This window comes from Homo sapiens, chromosome 18 (assembly GCF_000001405.40).
Source record: "Homo sapiens chromosome 18, GRCh38.p14 Primary Assembly".
Lineage (NCBI taxonomy): Eukaryota > Metazoa > Chordata > Mammalia > Primates > Hominidae > Homo > Homo sapiens.
The window spans coordinates 6,931,735-6,952,372 of record NC_000018.10 but is presented as its reverse complement, the minus strand read 5'-3'; the positions used below and the strand labels follow the sequence as shown (position 1 = coordinate 6,952,372).

The following is a 20,638-nucleotide window of genomic DNA, read 5'->3' as shown; positions in this document are numbered from 1 at the left end:
TTTAACCATCCGGTCAGCCTCCCGCACACCCCCAGCTGCTCTTGAGAGAGTTACTCGAGACCCCTGTGCAGCTACATGGTGCGGAGCCCCCTGCACTGGGCTCTCAGCAGCCCCTGGACTTCCTTGGCTGTCACAGATGCACACTCTCCTAGTTCCCTGCTCTCTCTCGGCCCGCCTTCCTCAGTCTCCCAGCTGAGAGTGCTGGGCCCTTCCACACGCTCTCCCAGGATGGCCTTCTATGTTCCGATCACCTTAAAATGCCACCTAGATATGGCAGAACCTACCTGTGTAGCTCTGGCCTCCACTTAGAACTCAGGATTTGTGGGCCCACCAGCCACTCGAGATCTGCATGTGGACTGGGACAGGTTCCTCAGCCACTCAACATCTCTGTGTGGCCTGGGACAGTCTCCTGGGCCTCATCACCCCGAATGGAATTCGCAGGCTTCCCTCAGTCCTGCTCTCCTGCTCTTTGCCGTTGCCGCGGGCACAATCACCATTCACCTGGTTGCCCAAGGCCCAAGCCTAGGGGCTATTTTTCATTTCACTTTTTCTCACTCTCCAAATCCAGTCCATTGGCAAATCCTGTTGCTTCTTCCTCCAGAACGTTTCCTGAATCTGTTCTGAGTCCCCACCGCCACCCTGGTCTAAGCCACCCGACTCCCTCCCGTTGGCTGTCGTAACAGCTGCCTGATGGGACCCGCTTCACCCCTGACCCCCTGACCTGTTCTTCAGTTTAGACAGAGGATCTCTTAAAGGAATTCTCGGCCACTCCCCCTTTCAAAGCCCTCCTGTGACTTCCCACTGTGCCGAAAATCCAAACACCCTCAAAGCCCCTCCTCCCTATGTTGGAGCCACATCTGCCCTGGTGCTGTCCCTGGGTGGTCCAGTGACACCGTGGTCCCTCTGACAGGGCCTACCCAGGCGCAGCCTTCCTCCACACCTGCAGTAACTCTGGTTCCCCCACGGCCTCAGGTGGGCTTCCTGATGTCCCCTGCCATCAAGCTCTCACTTTGCAGGGGCTTGCCCCTTTCTGTCATTCAGACCTCAGCTGAGATATCAGCTTTGCAGAGTTACCCGCGTTGAATGCTTAAGGTAGCCACTGGTTGGCCTCTACAGGACCCACTTTACTGTCTGATGTGTTTCTGTATTAGTTTCATGAGCAAAGGGATCTTCCTCTTTGTTCACAGCTTTATCCTCATCCTGAAACAGTTCCCGGCAGACAGAGGTAGGCACTAATAACTCATTATATGAATGGATGTGTAAATGGATGAAGGAATGAATACCCCTCTCTCCTGAGATGTTCAATGTAAACGCTGAAACAATTGTTGGGTCCTCTTTTGAGGTTTTAAAAATGAAAAGTAAAAGTTTCCTTTCTCAACGCTGAGCACTTGTTTTCCCCAGGCTCTCGGTTGAGCTAAGCATCCGCACGTTCGCCTCCAGCGGCCTGATTTACTACATGGCTCATCAGAACCAAGCAGACTACGCTGTGCTCCAGCTGCACGGGGGCCGCCTCCACTTCATGTTTGACCTTGGCAAAGGCAGAACAAAGGTCTCTCACCCTGCACTGCTCAGTGATGGCAAGTGGCACACGGTACGATCTCAGGAGGCTTGTGGTGGCTGCTTCTGAGTTCTGTTCCATCTATCACTCGGGTTCACTCCATTTCTCAAAGGCACATTATCCCCATTAATCTCTATCTCGCCGTGTGTGTCTGGTGTCTCCCCCAGAGACTACAAGTCTTGAAGGCAGGGATCTTTTCTGCTTCCGAAATATCCCCAGGGCCTTGCTTAGTACCTGACGTGAAATAGACATTCAGCAAACATTGGCGGGATGAACAAAAGGTACTAGACATGTTCTTGACTTGGCAAGGAGTATGTAAAGCCTAGCCTCCCCTCATGGCATTTGCTTTCTGATAACCGGAACTCTGGAGCACTTTCTGGTGTGCAGCACGCTTTACCTGTGCCTGTAATCGGCCAGCTGGGTTGTTCTTGTCCACTGCCCAGAAAAGCAAATGCACTAAGAGTGGCAGGTTTTGCAGCAAAGAAAGAGTTTAATTATTGCATAGGCAACTTGCCAGGAGATAATTCTCAAAGCCGCCTCCCCAAGAATTCAAGGACTAGGGTTAAAACCTCGTGTAAACAAGGATAGTTTGGCAGCCGGGGGATAAGGAATGGCAAATGCTGATTGATTGGATTGGGGAAGAAATCACAGGGGGTCGAAGTTGTCTTCTTGTGCTGAGCCAGTTCCTGGGTAGGGGTTACTGCTCTGGGTGGTGCCATTTGGTTCATACTGAATGCAAAGTCTGAAAAATATCTCAAATGCCAGTCCTAGGTTTTACAATAGCAATGTTATCTATATGGGGCAATTGGAGAAGGTATAACACTTAACGACTATTGGCTACGTGATTCCTAAGCAATAAGTAGTTTAAAAGGGCAAAGTATAAACAATGACTGGTTAGAGTTTATGCCTACATCTTAGCAGGAGAAACAATGGCTGGTTAGAGTTTATGCCTGTATCTTAGCAGAATTCAGGCCCCTATCACAATTCCAACCTTGTGGCATTTCCTTAATTTTACAAAGGCGATTTTGGTCCCTGAGCAAGGAGGGAGTTAGTTTTGGGGAGGGACTGTTAACCATCTTTGTTTTAAACTGTCAACTAAATTCCTCCCATTTCGGGAAGGGACTGTTATCATCTTTGATTTAAAGTTAAACTATCCACTAAATTCCTCCCATTTCCAGAAGGGACTGTTATCATCTTTGTTTTAAACTATCAACTAAATTCCTCCCATAGCTAGGTTGAATTAGCAAAGACAGCTTATGAGGTTAGAAGCAAGATAGAGTCAGTTATGTCAGATTCCTCTTGCTGTCATTTTTCTATGTCAGATTTCTTTCACTGTTACAGTTTTTGCAAAGGCAGTTTCATACCTGCCTCCTTTCTTCTGCCAGGCTCATCCACTTTTCGTCACCAACTGTCTAAAAATTTGAACCTTCCTTTAGCATTGCATTCAGGTTGTTATAGCTCTCAGAAACAGATGTTGCATCTGTTAAAGTTTATACATCTGTTAAAAGTTTTTTCAGATTCCTCAAAAATTATGCATGTTTTCACTTTGCTGTAGGTCAAGACAGACTATGTTAAAAGAAAAGGCTTCATAACTGTCGACGGCCGAGAGTCTCCCATGGTGACTGTGGTGGGAGATGGAACCATGCTGGATGTGGAGGGTTTGTTCTACCTAGGAGGCCTGCCCTCCCAGTACCAGGCCAGGAAAATTGGAAATGTAAGCAGCATTTTCCATACTGACATTTTACCTTCGTTGTGTTCGTGTTTATTTTGTAGAAGAGCATACCTCACGGCATCTTTATGTTTAAATTACCTTGTTTGAACCTGGGGCTTGTGAAGAGGTTTACTTTGCAGGCATGTCCACAGATCGTGTGCCAGGGCCGCCCCTCAGAACCCGATCAGTCTTTCCAGCCTGTTAGTTAATGAACATCTCCCTTTCCGCAGCCACGTGGCCACAGCACAATTCAGGGAAGCCCAGCAAATGCATATTCGCACATTAGTAAACTCAGCATTTTTTGATTTCCACAATATTTCACTAAAATAATAGAAAACACTTCCACTGCATTATTAGCAAAGATACTCAAATGGTAGCTCTAACTTAGACATTCATGTGAAGTATTGTGGCAATTAAAGTTTTAAAACAAAAAGATTACATTTTAATGTGTTTTGCTGAGACCAGTCTGATGAAGTGGAAGGAAAATGTGTCCAAACCCTTCCCATTAGAATCACCACTGTCTACTCTTGCATGTCATTTGGCTTAGATCACCCACAGCATCCCTGCCTGCATTGGGGATGTGACGGTTAACAGCAAACAGCTGGACAAGGACAGCCCGGTGTCTGCCTTCACGGTGAACAGGTGCTACGCAGTGGCCCAGGAAGGAACATACTTTGACGGAAGCGGATATGCAGCTCTTGGTATGTGTTAGCAACACTCTCGAAGGCAGTCCCCGAATGAGTCTGTACTCTAAAGCGATGTGGATCCAAGAGTATAAGACAGGACCCACTGGACAAGGCTGCAGGAAAACCACATTGAGTTTAGTATTCCAGTTGATTCCTAATTTCTTGGCGTAAAAAGCCTTCTCAGGTCTTGTGCTATCTGGATGGCCTGACAAAGTCTCCCCCAAGGAGTGGTGTGACTCCTGACAGAGGCCAGACATGGGGTGCTAGTTTCATCTATAGTTTCCCCAGGTTCTGTAATGCACACTTACTGTCCAAGTTAAGAAAGGGCTTTGAATTAAAAATCAGCAGCATAAAATGTCTAGACCAGCTGGCGCCAGGGAGGCTGTGCAGAAGTTTGGGTGGGGAAGAGGGGGAAGCCAGCAGAACATCTCTCGTTCACTCTGTGCTTCCTTTCTCCTGTTCCTGGGGCTCAGGCTCCAGCCCTGCTGGGCAGCCCCCTCCATGGCCTCAGCTCCCCTTGCACCCCCCAGCTCTGGGCATACCATCTTCTCCCCTTTTCCCTTCAGCCCTGGGCATGGTAACAACTGCCTGCTGTTGTCAATAGCCCCACCCAGTGTGGCTCCTCGGCTTTTTTATCACCTGAATTAAAAAAGCATTCCATTCAATCCCCACCTTTAACAAACTTAGTATGGACTCTGATACACTCAGTAAATGATGATTCCCACAAGTACACAGATACTAGGAAAATAAAGTGGACTATTCTCGGATGATGATAAAGGGATTCCAGGGATCAAATCCCAACAGCCCACGGGAAAGACTGCCGCAGGGAGGACGTGTCCACAGGGTGAGGCAGGGCCACGTGCTTCTGTGGCCACAGATGAAGGAGGTGCCTGGCTCTGCTCTGACCTGGCTGACTGCATGCGTCTTCTTTAAAAGCTCCACGTCATCTCCCAGATGTGGAAGCCGAGGCTCAGAGGGCAGGAGTGACCTGCTGGTGGGGATGCAGCTGGATCCAAAGGAGGAGCTAGAGCCAGGTCCCCCAACCCCTAGCCAGGAGGCCAAATGCTCAACCTGGGCCTGGCAGCGCTCACCCTGACTTGGGTCCTCCTTGTGTGTTACAGTCAAAGAGGGCTACAAAGTCCAGTCAGATGTGAACATCACACTGGAGTTTCGAACCTCCTCGCAGAATGGCGTCCTCCTGGGGATCAGCACTGCCAAAGTGGATGCCATTGGACTAGAGCTTGTGGACGGCAAGGTGGGTGCTTCCTCTCCATGAGGGTCTTCCTCCCCCCAGTGTCAGAGACAGAGCAATTGAGAAACAGCAGATTCAAATTCACAACTATCTATTTTCATGGAGTCAAACAATGGTCCCATTACTATTTTAAAAACAGATATTGCTACAAGAAAACCTTTTTGGTTTATTTTTTAAAAGCTTTTCAAAAATAACTTTTTATATGTTTGAAAGTAAGCTTTCAGCAAAATTACAACTATAATACAAAGAACTTTTTTTCCTGAACCATCTGAGAATAAGCTGCTGACCTGATGCCCTATCCCTTCTAATAATTTTTTTTAACTTTTTATTTGGAAATTATTACAGATTCATAGGAAGTTGCAATGAAATGTACAGGGAGGGCCCCATGCACCATTCACCCAGACCCAGGTTTCCCAGTGGTAGCACTATGCATTTTTTTTCTTTTTGAGACGGAGTTTCGCTCTTGTTGCCCAAGCTAGAGTGCAATGGTGCAATCTCAGCTCACTGCAACCTCTGCCTCCCAGGTCCAAGTGATTCTCCTGCCTCAGCCTCCTGAGTAGCTGGGATTACAGGCGTGCACCACCACACCCGGCTAATTTTTGTATTTTTTAGTAGAGACCAGGTTTCACCATGTTGGTCAGGCTGTTCTCGAACTCCTGACCTCGTGATCCGCCCGCCTCGCCTCCCAAAGTGCTGGGATTACAAACATTATGCATTTTTCTAGCACAATCAAGATACTTAATTGTATCAATACTACAAGGCTCCCCCTTAATACCCCATCATGGCCACACCCAACTCCTGTACCCCTAATCCTAGGCAACCACTAATCTGTTTGCTGTCCCTCTAATTTCTGTTTTGCCAGTGTTATATAAATGAAATAACGCAGTAGGTATCCTTATGAGATCAGCTTTTCACACTCAGCCTGATCTTGGGAAGGTCATCTGGGTGGTTGTGCATATCAACAGTCCGTTCCCTTTTGTGGTGGCGTATTACTCTGTGGGATAGACGTACCATGCTATAATTTTTTTTTAATGTAGAACATGTTATTTTTTTCTGTGACTGTTCTGCCCTTGCTTTTCAGCCTCTCATGTCCCTCTCCTGCTGGCAACAAAATGAACTCCACAATTTGCAGTACTAGTCCTTTAGTCTCCTGCTTGAAAACCGCCTCCTTCACAGTTTCTCCCAGTTCTCACTTCCCTTCCTCTCCCCTTTGGGGCTGTCTGGGCGCAGGCAGGATGCGGGGAAGGGAGTCTCGATGGCCCTTTTCCTTTCTGTGGGCTCTCTAGTGGACAGCAGCTGAGCCATAGCCATATCGTGGTCTTCAGGGCAGCCTCTTACAGTGAGTGGTCTGGGGTCTCAGTGTTGCCCCTGCATGGGGGCTGCTCCTGGAGAGTTTGGCCAGCGTCCATTTCAGCTCAGGCTTCTCATCCTGGTTGTCATGAGTAGTGCCACCTCTTCATCTTCCCGCTTCCCCGTGGGGTCATGTGCAAACTTGGGGATTTCTGCCAAGCCACACAGAGGCCATGGGGAATCAGGGATGGTGTCTCTCTGGTCCTCTCTCTACCTAACTACATTTTACCAGCATTTCTGCAGCACTGTGGTCAATGTTTGTTGTTGTGGGAGTAAGATGCCTGAATTTTCCAACACTAGTGCCTCTTGGAAGGCAAGGAAAAAGTCTCCATGTTCTAGATTCCCCAGGACTTACCGGTTGTTTCTGGTATTTCCCTACTTACTCCCCGCTGGGTTTTGACCCCTAGGATATCCTAGAGTGGGGGTGGGGAGGATCTGAAAGGTCATGTCTGACCTTTTGCCCTTCACCTCTTTTCCGATTCATGACAAACCAGAACTAACTTGATGTCATATTGCTGCCTCTCTACACTGACTTACAGCCAACTTTTTCCCTCATCTATACTTTAAAAACTTTTGTATCTATTTGCATGTTTTTATGTGACATCTAAAAAATGTTACCAGGGCCAGATATGGTGGCTAACACCTGTAATCCCAAAACCTTGGGAGGCTGAGGCAGGAGGATTGCTTGAGCCCAGGAGTTTGAGACCAGCCAGGGCAACATAGCGACACCCCATCTCTATTTTTGAAAAATATTTTATTTAGATAAATAAAAAATTAGGAATGCAATCAGAAGTGTAATTGCTGCAAACAATGTAATTTTCTGTTGTATTATACATTTTACTTCTTATTGGATTATTATGCATAGTTCTTTTTTAACATTTTTAGTTGTTACCTAAGGGTTTATGACATATCCTTAATTGTCACAGTCCACCTAGAAATAATACTGAGCAGTTTCATATATAGCATAAGAATCTTCAAAAAGTACATTTGAAATTCTTTCCTCCTGTCTTAGTCTGCTTGGGGTGCCAGAACAAAGTACCACAGACTGTGTGGCTTAAACAATGGAAATTTATTTTCTTGCCACTCTAGAGACTAGAAGTCCGAGATCAATGTGTTAGTAAGGTTCTTTATTCTGAGGCCTGTCTCTTTGACTTACAGATGCCTCGTTCTCCCTGTGTTCTCACATGGTCTTCCCTCTGTGCATGTCTGTGTCCTAATCTCTTCTTATAAAGACACAGTCAGATTGGATGAGGGCCACCCTAGTCACTCATCTTTACTTAATTACCTCTTTAAAAGCTCCATCTTCAAATACAATCACATTCTGAGGTACTGGGGGTTAGGACTTCAGCATATGAATTTTGGAGGGCGGTCTTCAGCCCATAACACCTCCTATCCTTTGCAAAGCTGAGATCTCTTTACTTGCTGTGGGAGAGCATCTACAGTTCATCAGAAGAGAGTTAGTAAATATTCGCTCATAGGTGCTATCAATAGGTATGACCGGGCCAGGTGCGGTGGCTCACACCTGTAATCCCGGCACTTTGGGAGGCCGAGGTGGGCAAATCACCTGAGGTCAGGAATTCAAGACCAGCCTGGCCAACATGGTGAAACCCTGTCTCTACTAAAAATACAAAAATTAGCTGGGCATGGTGGTGGATGCCTGTAATCCCAGCTATGCGGGAGGCTGAGGCAAAAGAATCACTTGAACCCAGGAGGTGGAGTTTGCAGTAAGCCAAGACCGCGCCACTGCACTCCAGCCTGGACAACAGGAGCGAAGCTCCATCTCAAAGAAAAAAAATGAAAGTATGACCAGCACCTCCAGTAAGGCTATTAGCTCCTAAAATGTCCTAAAATTGAGGCCCTCATTTAAGGATGCAGTGTGCTCAGACTTGTGGTCATGAAGGTGGCCATTTGCGCTTTCTGGAATTTGGGGACTAGTATAACATCTGAATCTTTTTTTTTTTTTTTTTTTTTTGAGATGGAGTTTCGCTCTTGTTGCCCAGGCTGGAGTGCAATGGTACGATCTTGGCTCACCGCAACCTCTGCCTCCTAGGTTTAAGCGATTTTCCTGCCTCAGCCTCCTGAGTTGCTGGGATTACAGGCATGCGCCTAGCTAATTTTTTTGTGTTTTTAGTAGAGACAGGGTTTCTCCATGTTGCTCAGGCTGGTCTCGAATTCCTGACCTCAGGTGATCCGCCTGCCTCGGCCTCCTAAAATGCCAGGATTACAGGTGTGAGCCACCATGCCCAGCCATCATCTGAATCCTTTAAAAGGTTACTTTTCAAAACTATTTTCTGTTTCTCCTAGTTAGCTCTCCTTTTAAACATAATGCTGCAATTTTATCTACTCCAAGAGCTTATACAAATGGACTGTGTTCCTTAAATACACAAAAACTCACCAAGATATTTGCTTTTAGGTCTTGTTCCATGTCAACAATGGTGCTGGCAGGATAACAGCTGCATATGAGCCCAAAACCGCCACTGTGCTCTGTGATGGAAAATGGCACACTCTTCAAGCTAACAAAAGCAAACACCGTATCACTCTGATTGTTGACGGGAACGCAGTTGGCGCTGAAAGTCCACACACCCAGTCTACCTCAGTGGACACCAACAATCCCATTTATGTTGGTGGCTATCCTGGTATGTACGGGTACCTGCTCTTCCACTCAAAAGGGGCACTGTCCCTGGAGGAAGTCTTGGTTCAGGTGGATGTAGAATAGGGATTGAGAAAGGTACATGGTTTGGGTGACAAATCCTTTACCATTTTAGAAAGGCTATTTCAAATATCTAAGAATTCTTGGATAACTTAAAATAATCTACATACACAAGTTAATCATTGGGTAAGACTGTGAGAACATTGGGTCTGATATAAAGGCAGCCGTATGACTCTACCGAAGTAAATTTCATGACTGTCAGACTTGGGAGTCATTTTAGGGCTAGGGAATCGTTTTAGGAAACAAACTTGTGACTCATCTCTCTGGTCAATTTTGGATTAGAATTATGTATTTTAGATGTTCCAAGGAATTGTTGCAAATAATAAACACCTGTTGTATGACTTTTTTTAAGTTATAACTATGCCTTAAAATTTTATATATTAAAAGTTTTTGGCCAGGTGCGGTGGCTTACACCTATAATCCCGGCACTTTGGGAGGCCAAGGTGGGTGGATCACTTGAGGTCAGGAGTTTGAGACCAGCCTGGCCAACATGGTGAAACCCTCTCTCTACTAAAAATACAAAAATAAGCTGGACGTGGTGACGGGTGCCTGTAACCCCAGCTACTCGGGAGGCTGAGACAGGAGAATCACTTGAACCCGGGAGGCAGAGGTTGCAGTGAGCCGAGATCGCGCCACTGCACTCCAGCCTAGGTGGCAGAGCGAGACTCCATCTCAAAAAAAAAAAAGTTTTCTCTGAATTCTGCTAGTCACTGACACCACATATGTGGAAGATATTCTCCTAATTTTGATAGTGAAAAATTTAAAAAATAAAAAAACCCGCTTGAGATTATTTCTGTTGCTTTTGTGCTATGGATCGCATTTCAACAAAATTAAGCAAGATTTGTCTTCTCTTCTTTCCTGAACAGCTGGTGTGAAGCAAAAATGCCTGCGCAGCCAGACCTCGTTCCGCGGGTGTTTGAGGAAGCTAGCTCTGATTAAGAGCCCGCAGGTGCAGTCCTTTGACTTCAGCAGAGCGTTCGAACTGCACGGAGTTTTCCTTCATTCCTGTCCTGGGACCGAGTCCTGAACTTCAAGCAGAATCCTCAGTTGGAATCATTGCTAATATTTTGAGGAGAAGTGTATGTGTGAATTAAGAATCTCTTCAGTTCATATTTCATTTCCAACTCAGGTTAAGTGTTTCTGGGGAGAGATGTTGTGTTTACGTTACACTAAAACCACATGTGCAACAAATACCTCCATTAAATGGTCTAAAATGTAAATTGAATTCCCTGGCTCTCTTTTTAAACGTATTTTTAAAAAAATCTTTATACACATTGAATGTTCTGTTGATTACTTGATAGTATTTTATGTTTTTCATTTTGAGCTTTTTAAAAAAGTATCAATACAGATGATAACAGATCAGAGTATGAAGCCTTTTATTTCTTCAAGAAAACTCTAAGCTCCAATTTCTACAACAGACAAGCAATGTTCATTGATTAATTCCAGATGAGCACACCAGCTGTTTGCCACATAACCTTTTAGGGAGGCTCCAGCAAGTCACAGGGGCAAAGGGAGCAAAGGAAGGAGCTGGACCGTCCTTGGAGGTGGCCTTGTGCTATCAGGACCTCACCTAACAGCGCATTTTGCAGGACAGAAAAAAAGAAAAGATGGCATCATTTTAAATTAGTGCTTCCTTTATTGTCAATTTTATTTTCATCACTTGGAATGAAACAGTTTGCCTTAATCAGCTACTTTTCTGGTATAGTATGTGTAATTTGAAAAGAGAGAACATTTTAAAACCATGTAAGTATATTATTTTAATGGACCAAGCAGCTGTAGACCCAGATTTCTGAAGTCGCATTCAGTCCACATTCATTTTAGTTCTGCTCTGTGGCTGCAGCTCGGGTCACAGTGGCCGCTATCCGTATCCTTCAGAAAAATGATCCCATTTTCCAAAGGCTCACTTGAAGAGCAGTCTCCACCTGTCTTAGCCATGACCTGCTTTTCCAACATGGAGGAGGCCAGAATTAGTGTCTGTGTCTCTGAGAGATTTTGATTGGATAAACAAGGAAGGCAGCTGTGCTTCTGGTCCCTGTCCCTGTTCATTGCCTTCTTGTTTTTGAACCCTTATGGGGATTCACACCTCTTGATGTGTATATTTGAAATTTATAATTCTTTCCCATTTAAATACCTGCATGAAGATGTTTCTTAGAGAAAGGCAGCCGCCAGTTGTGGACGTGCTGTTTCTGTAGCACCAGCCATGGGAGGAATGCAGACTTTTCAAAGGCAGCTCCTGGGCAGCTGGGCTCAGAAGAGGCACCTGCCCGTCTCAGCGGCAGTGCACGTGCACCGAGAACCTCTTTGCTGGGCTGTGGGTGGTCTTTGGTTTCATGTTTCTGCGGAAACCAGCTACAGTGGGATATGAAGGCTCTGACATTCTAGATCCTGGCCCACCGTGTTGGGTGAGGAAGTGACCAAAACCAGGACATAGAGCACAGACTGTGGAGTTGCCTTGAGCTTTGCACTCCAGCCCTGCCTCCACCCGCTCTTTAACAGAGTTAAAATGGAGCATGGGCTTTTCATCAGTACAGCTGTTCACAAGGTCTCTCTGAAGGATCCCTCGGGGGAGAACCCACCAGCTCTCCCTTGGCCTTTCACAAGCACAGAGTAGAGTGACCTGGGTGTAGATCTGTCCCCGTGACCTTGAGCCTGTGCTCCCAGGTCAGACACCAGCTATGGTTCTCACTTCGGGTTCTCACACTTATTCCTTAATTCCTCTCGCCAAGTCTGGACTCAGGTTCTTAGAGAGGGTTGCCAGATAAAACACAGAACCCAGGGAAATCTGAATTTCAGATAAACACCACAGACATGTTTTTAGCGTAAGCACATGCTAAATATTGCACAGCTCCTGTGTTTTTCATTTGCTGAATCTGGCAACCCTACTTTGGAGCCCAAGGGCATAAAAAGATTATGATACCCTTTCCCTCACTGCCAAGCGATTCCAAATAAAAGCAAATCTATGTCTTAAAGCACATGCAACAAAACCTATTGACGATCATGTTTTTCTCATGACGACTTTACTGAGAGACTGATTTCTTTCCAAAGTCTAATTTTGGTGCCAAAAGTCCTTGTTTAGTCTGTCAATTAATGTAGTACTTTTTTTTATTCTGGCAAAATATAGAAAATATAAAATTTACCATTTTAAGCCATCTTTAAGCGTACATTTCCATGAAATTCAATACATTTATACGGTATGCAACCACTACCATTCATCTCCAGAATTCTTTTCATCTTGTAAACCTAAAACTCTGTACCAATTAAACAGTAGGCCCCCATTCCTTCCTTCCCTCAGCTCCTGGCAACCACCATTCTTTCTGTCTCTACACATTTGACCACTCTGGGTACTTCATATAAGTGACTTACCATAATAGCTTCAAGGTTCATCTCTATTTAGCATGTGTCAGAATTTCCTCCCTTTTAATTCTGAATAGCATCCCATTGTATGTATAGACATTATGCTCATCCATTAATCCCTTGATGGGTACTTGGGTTGCTGCCATCTTTTGGCTATTGTGAATAGTGCCGCAATGAACATGGATGCACAAATGTCTGTTCAGAGTCCCTGCTTTCAACTCTCTGGGGCATATATCCAGAAGTGGAATTGCTGGATCATATGGTAAATCTATTGGTAATTTTTTTTTTTTTTTTGAGACAGAGTCTCACTCTGTCATCCAGGCTGGAGTGCAGTGCTGTGATCTTGGCTCATGGCAACCTCCACCTCCCAGGCTCAAGCAATTCTCCTGCTTCAGCCTCCCGAGTAGCTGGGACTACAGGCGGGTGCCACCACGCCTGCCTAATTTTTGTATTTTTAGTAGAGACGGGTTTCACCGTGTTGGCCAAGATGATCTCAAACTCCTGACCTCAAATGATCCACTAAGTGTTGGGATTACAGGCATGAGCCACGGCGCCTGGCCCCTATTTGTAATTTTTTGAGAAAGAACTATACTGTTTTCCATAGCATGCAGCACTGTTCTCAAGCCTCAGTTTCTTCATCTGTAAAAAAGGTTGTGATACCAACCTCAAAAAGGTATCACAATATTTAGAAAATAGTATTAAAATTTTTTTCAGAGAGAGAGCACGTGGATAAGCCAACAGCATTGACCATAGTGAAATTTAATCCTCAGTCACACCTGCCTTCCAAGAATGTCCAACAACCGATGGATTTATAGGCAAGCATTGGTAAACATCAGAAAAGAGAAGAAAACTGACCAACTCATTTAACACTGATGGAATAACTTCATATGAAACAAGACAAGTATAAAACAATTACAGACCAACTTTACTTACGGACTTTGATGTAAATATCTTTTATAAAATACTAATAAATTCAATTCAGTCCTTAGGGGAAATGATAACTAAGTACATTTGCAAGCCCGTAAATTCTTCTTTTATTCTCACATGTGGTAATTTTTTTATTATGGTCAAACATTTGGCATAAGATCTACCCTCTTAACATATGTTAAATGCACAATATATTATTGTTAACTATAGGCACCATGTTGTACAGACAGCAGATCCCTAGAGCTTACTCAGCTTGCATAACTGAAACTTCATTTTTTTATTTATTTATTTTGAGATGGTATTTCACTCTTGTTGCCCAGGCTGGAGTGCAATGGCATGATCTCGGTTCACTGCAACTTCCACCCTCCAGGTTCAAGTGATTATTTTGCCTCACCCTCCTGAGCAGCTGGGATTATAGGCACACACCACTGAGACTCCGTCTCAAAGAAAAAAAAAAAAAAACCAGAAAATTAGTGATTCAGAGATAAGGAAGTTTCACTATTTTTCTTATAACAACAATACTACTTGGTACCTGTGGCACTTCCTTCTTCCCCAGTGGCAGAAACTTTGTAACGGCTGAGTATATATTTTTAAATGTCACACAATGCCCTGGGTGTGTTCCCCTCAGCCGTAATAAACTCCCTCTCCACACTACTACCTGCTTTTCCCGCTAGCTTGGAACTGTGGCTGAAGATAATTCTCCAGTACCTGCCTCCGTGATGTTCTGCCCTGCGTCCTGCCCGGGACCCTTTTCACAGCTGCAAGCTATGTTGTTACTTAGTTGTTCCTCATGGGACAGTCAGTCTCTAGCACAGTTTCTGAATGTCTGAAGGAAGTCAACGGGAAGCATCGGGTCAATTTCCTGCCTCAGACTGCAAAACGGATCTGGACACATCTCCCATCACTTTGTGATACCCATTTGCTTTTTCTTCTTGAAATTGTACTGTATGGAAGGTATTTCTCTGTCAGGTTCATATTTCACATAGTTTTCAAAATTTCAGAAGTATCACATACATCCCAAGTGCTCATGGCTCCCGTTTGTATTTAGTGGTGTGCAGGCAACATCTTCGCCTTCTGGTGCCCTTGGTAAGTCTTCCTGGTCAGCCCCCTGCAGTGCTGACTGCCCTGGAACTGTTCTGTTTCTCTTTTTTAAATTAATTAATTAATTAATTAATTTATTTATTTATTTATTTATTTATTTTGAGACGGAGTCTCGCTCTGTCACCCAGGCTGGAGTGCAGTGGCGCGATCTCGGCTCACTGCAAGCTCCGCCTCCCGGGTTCACGCCATTCTCCTGCCTCAGCCTCCGGAGTAGCTGGGACTACAGGCGCCTTTTTTATTTATTTATTTATTTTTAGTAGAGACAGGGTTTCACCATGTTAGCCAGGATAGTCTCGATCTCCTGACCTCGTGATCCGCCCGCCTCGGCCTCCCAAAGTGCTGGGATTACAGGTGTGAACCACCACACCCGGCCGGAACTGTTCTGGTTCTTAATGGCTCTAAGTTAATGCTGAGTTTTCCCCTCAGATTGGATGTTCTCCTCAAAGAGCCTCTAGTTGTTTTATAGCTCCTTGAAGGTCGATATTCTGTTGGATATTTCTTAGGCATTTCTCCCTGACATAATAGTTAATACAATAAGGACATGGCAGAGGTTATTAGTACATAATTATTAAACTGAATACTAGTTTCTCATTTTTCTCTAAACATACTTCAGCAGTGTCGTTTTTCCATAAATTTCAAAAGATCTTTGCAAATGTGATTCTTCTAACAAGCCATCGAACAAGCATTTAAACAGAACAGAATCATGCTCTCTTCGGTAGCACATATATTATACTAAAAGTGGAGCGATCCAGAGGTTAGCATGGGCCCTGTGCAAGGATGACATGCACATTCGTGAAGCATTCCATATTTTTAAAAGTCTAATAGAAAATTTGAGAAAGAATTTTAAAATGACAAAATCAGCCATTTTGCAACATATTCCGCAAAAAGATCTACAGGCTTAACAGTTTTCATAATATACAGTGAAGTTTTCAACTTAATATATCCTGAAATGTAAAAACTATCAGGATTTTTTTTCACAGGGTGACAATGGCAGCGCTCATGTTCCTTTCAAACCCCTTCAGTGTCCGACAATGGGAGCCATACCAGCTGTCTGAAGCAAAGGCTTGGAGGGGAACATAATGAAAATCACTGTTTTCTCTCTGAGTAACACATTTTTAAAATGATGTTGTCCTTTCACAGTATATGCTGAGCATAATGCTTAATTATAAAGTATTGAAACATGAACTCCAGTGTGAATGCTAAAGAACTGTGGTCTCTGTTCACATTGTTATAAAAGAGACAAGTTTATTTTAACGAGAACCGTTCTATGCATCAGGCATTTCATCCATGATTTAATTTTTAGCATGTGTTTGAAATGCAAATGTGATTTTCTGATATGAATAAAACCCAGTAAAATCTTTGCTAAAAATGGTACAATGCTGAATTGTGTCCCTGAAGGTGGTCAGAAGAAAACAATTAGAGGAAGAACATCAGTCAAGGGAGGAGGTAGGAGGTTGTAAAGAATAGACACACAAGTACCAGAGGATGCATGTGCGGCTTTGCCACCCAGACTAGAAGGTCGGCAGGACGTAGGTATGGATAGGGAGTTAGTGTGATTAATACTATGTGGCTTAAATGTAATTCTGCACCCTTGAGGTCTGATTAAATCGAACATGGAATTTAAGAAGTGTGAGTAAAAATGACAAAAGAATAAGTAGGAAATGATCAAGACCATTCACTAAGTCTTGCTAGGAAAAAATGTTCAAGCTTGGAAGAAGACTCAGTGGAAAGCTTTTGATTTAGGTAGCATTGGAAGCAAACTAAAGAAAATCTTTTTTAGTAAGCTAACCTAAAAGGAAACACATTTCTCTTCTTTTATTAGGTGTTACATTGAAATTGAGTGAATTGGAGGGAAGGAATCCTAAAATGATAAAATCACCAGGCAAATCATTGAATTACTGCTGATTCTCACAGTACTTCCCAAAGTTAAGTGGAAAGGGGTGTGTGTGTGTGTGTGTGTATTTAAACTGATATAACCACAGAAGATGGGATATAACTTATAGTCTGAACATAACGTAGTCTAATTTTTTACTAAAACAGACATCAACATTTTCCAGAGGCCGACAATAGATCCAGAGTCTGCAATACACAACATTCACAATGTCCAGGAAACAATTCAAAATCTCTTGATATACAAACAACCAGGAAAATGGTACTGATTCTTAAGGTGGAAAGACAATCAAACAAATACCAACCTCAAGAGAAAATTATCAGACAAAGACTTTAAAGCAGCTATTTTATCTATGCTCGTAAGGTCAGGGAAAGCACACTTCGATTGACTGATATGATAGAAGTGCTCAACAGAAAAAAGGAAAATTTAAAAAGGAAGCAAATAAAAAATATTGAAATGAAAAATACAATCTCTGCAGTCAAAAGTTAATCATTGGTTGGACTCAATAGCAGAATAAAGATGATAAAAGGAAAATTAAGTTGAAGGTAGAACAATGAAAATTATCCAATCTACAAAGAGAGATAAAGGGTTTAAAGAAAACAAACCCAGAGTGTCAGGTACCTGTGTGTTACCATCTAAAGGTCTAACATAGTGTAAGTTGAGTCTCAGAAAGAGAGGAGAAAAAGATTAAAATAGAAAAAAAATTTCAGCAAGAATGCCCAGAAACTCCCCAATTTAGTGAAAGACATAAATTTACAGATTCAAGACACTTAGCAAACTCTGGGCAAAACAAACTCAAAGGAAACAATCCCTATTAACACATAAGAATCAAGTTTCTGAATCCCAAGATACCTAAAAAATTCTTGAAAGTAGCTATAGTGGAAAAAAAAACAAAAAGCACACATTACATAGAGGGAAATCATGACTTTATGTCCATGATTTCTCCGAGAAACCATGAAGTCCAGAAGACAGCAGGACTACATCTTAAAAGTACTGAAAGAAAAGAGCTTCTCAACCTATAATTTTATATCCATTACAAATATCTTACAGCAATAAAGGTGAAATAAAGACATTCTCACAAGAAAGACAACAAAAAGAAGTCATTACCAGGTCCTACTCTTGGGCCCATGGAAAGAACTCTCATAACTCAGCATGAGATGAACAACCCAATTATAAATGATCAAAAGATTTGAATAGATATTTTACAAATATGAATGGCCAACAAACATAAGAAAACAGGCTCAGCACTATCAGTCCTTAGGGAAATGCAAATTAAAACCACAGGGAGATCTAACTACATACCTTCCAGGATAGCTAAAACTGTTGGAAGGATGTGGAGCAACTAGAATTCTTGTACATTGTTGAGGGGTGGGAATGTAAAATGCTACAACCACTTTGGAAAAAGTTTAGTAATTTCTTTAGAACTTAAATATACTTACCATATGTCCCAGGTAAGCTATTCTTGGCAAAGATTTATGGATAAATGTCAGAGCTTTATTTATACTAGCTAAACTCTGGAACTATCCCAGGTATCCATCAGTAGAATAGATGAACTGTAGCATATGCATACAAGGGAATACTATGTAGCAATAAGAAGGACTAAACCATGATACATACAACAATGTGAATGAATCTCAGAAATATGATGAATTTTAAAATGCCTTACACCAAAATACATACTTCATCATATTTGCATAAAATTTTTAGAAAATGCCAGGGGTTAAATGGAGGGAGGAATAGGTTACAAAATTGCATGAGGAAACTTGTTGGGCAATGGAACTGTTTACTATCTCGATTATGATGACCTCAGGGGTGTAAACAAATATCAAAACCCATCATTTTGAACAGTGCTGTTCAATACTACTTAATAATACCTCAGTAAGTTGTAAAAACTAATCAATTAAAAATGCGGCTTCCCCAAATCCTCTTTACTCAATAGCTATTGACTAAAATCCTCTCTCTTTAGTCAATAGCTAACATTGTGCTGAATAGTGCAAGTTTGAAAGCTTTTCCTCTAAGATCTAAGATCTAAGAAGCGAGACAAGGGGGCCGGGCACAGTGGCTCACTCCTGTAATCCCAGCATTTTGGGAGGCTGAGGTGGGTGGGTCACCTGAGGTCAAGAGTTCGAGACCAGCCTGGCCAACATGGTGAAACCCCGTCTCTACTAAAAATAAAAAAATTAGCTGGGCGTGGTGATGAGCACCTATAATCCCAGCTGCTCAGAAGGTTGAGGCTGGAGAGTCGCTTGAACCCAGGAGGCAAGGTTGTAGTGAATCAAGATTGTGCCATTGCACTGCAGCCTGGGCGACAGGGCAAGACTCCATCTCAAAAAGACAAAAAAAAAAAAAAAAGGCAAGACAAGAATGCTGCTTTTGCCACTTCTATTTAACATAGTCTTAGAAGTCCTAGCTAGAGAATTTAGGGAAGAAAATAAATAAATGAAAGGCATCCAAATTGGAAAAGAAAAAGTAAAATTCTCTCTGTTAGCAAACAATATTATCGTATATGTTAGAAAGCTCTAAATATTCTATAAAACAAACTCTTACAATTAATCAATAATTTCAGCAAAGTTGGAAGATACAAAATTAACCCACAAAAATCAGGTGCGTTTCTACATACGAACAATGAACAATCCCAAAAGAAATAGAGAAAACAATTTCATTTACAATAGCATTAGAAAGAATAAAATACTTAGGAATCAACTTAGCCAAGGAGCTGAAAGACTTATACACTAACAACCTTGAAGCATTACTGAGAGAAATTAAAACTAAGGGCAGCAATAAACGGAAAGATATCCTTGTTAATAAATAAGACTTAATACTGTTGAGATGTCAATATCACCCAAAGCAATCTACAGATTCCAGCAATGTTTTTAGCAGAAACAGAAAACAATTCTGAAATTCATACCGAATCTCAAGGATCCTGAATAGCCAAAACAATCTTGCAAATGAAGAACAACACTGAAAGTCACACACTTTCAAGTTTATAGAGATAGAAAGTAGAATAGTGGCTGCCAGGGTCGGGGGACTGGGGAGAATGGGGAAGGTGGAAAGTTCCGGTGATGGTTGCCCAACAATGTGAATGTACTTAATGCTACAGAACCACACTTAAGCGTGGTTAAAATAGTGAATTTCGTTACATATGTTTAATCACCATAATTATGAAAAAATAAATAGATGACAGCAACATGATTTTTCTTGGCAAAGCTCACCCACACTGAATAAATCCCCCAAACAGGCTGATGTTTGAAAGATCTGTGTTCAGGCTGGGCGCGGTGGCTCACACCTGTAATCACTTTGGGAGGCCGAGGCAGGCGGATCACCTGAGGTCAGGAGTTCAAGACCACCCTGGCCAACGTGGTAAAACCCCATCTCTACTGAAAATGCAAAAATTAGTTGGGCATGGTGGCGGGCACCAGTAATCCCAGCTACTCGGGAGGCTGAGTTAGGAGAATTGCTTGAGCCCAGGAGACAGAGGTTGCGGTGAGCTGAGATCGCGCCACCACACTCCAGCCTGGGCAGCAGAGCGAGACTCCATCTAAAAAAAAAAAAAAAAAGATCTGTGTTCAGAAGTGGAATTTTAGAAACATGTAGGTAGACATACAAAGCCATATTGCCAACATGTACTCATAGGAGAAATGTTAAAGTGAGTTTTTGTAACATAGCAGAAACTCTGTGACATTTAACATGCCCTATCCTACAAATTCGAGGACAGATTATCTTAAAACAAAGTCCTGTTTGTGATCGCTCCCAAGATAGTGTCTTGTATTTCTTTGTAGGTGAGTTTGCTCTCAAACTTCGCCCTCGCAGCACCTGTCATTGCAATTCCTATCAACTGCTCTGGGCCTGAGAATGAAAATTTATTCATTCATGAAAATTATTCTAACTTGGGTATTTTGGAGCTAGTGTGCTTTTTGGCTGCTAATACAATGTTATACCAAGTCCTACTTCATTAATCATTGTAAGATTTAAGGAAAAGATGAGACAAATTCCGTGAGCCACTAAGTTAGACACAGAGGATACCCATGCTTTGGTCTTAGGAAACAGCCCCAGGTGTTGACATTTGTTAGAAAAAATGCAGGGTGGTAGATTACAATC

General features: G+C 42.9%; 1 protein-coding gene and 1 pseudogene across 1 annotated transcript in view, besides 1 other annotated feature; both read left to right on the top strand.

The window, feature by feature from the left end:
- Positions 1-10,631, top strand: part of LAMA1 (laminin subunit alpha 1) — a 176,056-nt gene extending 165,425 nt beyond the window's left edge. Inside the window, exons 58-63 of the mRNA NM_005559.4 lie at positions 1,402-1,591; positions 3,114-3,272; positions 3,817-3,970; positions 5,077-5,210; positions 8,971-9,193; positions 10,134-10,631. Of these exons, the coding sequence (NP_005550.2) occupies positions 1,402-1,591; positions 3,114-3,272; positions 3,817-3,970; positions 5,077-5,210; positions 8,971-9,193; positions 10,134-10,294 (1,021 nt within the window). The 3' untranslated portion in view covers positions 10,295-10,631. The remainder of the gene's footprint in view (positions 1-1,401; positions 1,592-3,113; positions 3,273-3,816; positions 3,971-5,076; positions 5,211-8,970; positions 9,194-10,133) is intronic.
- Positions 492-1,049: an enhancer, noted in NCBI's record as "H3K4me1 hESC enhancer chr18:6951323-6951880 (GRCh37/hg19 assembly coordinates)". NCBI's record gives its function as "activates a minimal SCP1, AML or CMV promoter by ChIP-STARR-seq in naive H9 embryonic stem cells {active_cell/tissue: H9 hESC(naive)}" and the evidence as "EXISTENCE:reporter gene assay evidence [ECO:0000049][PMID:30033119]".
- On the top strand, positions 15,353-15,461 carry RNU6-916P (RNA, U6 small nuclear 916, pseudogene; annotated as a pseudogene).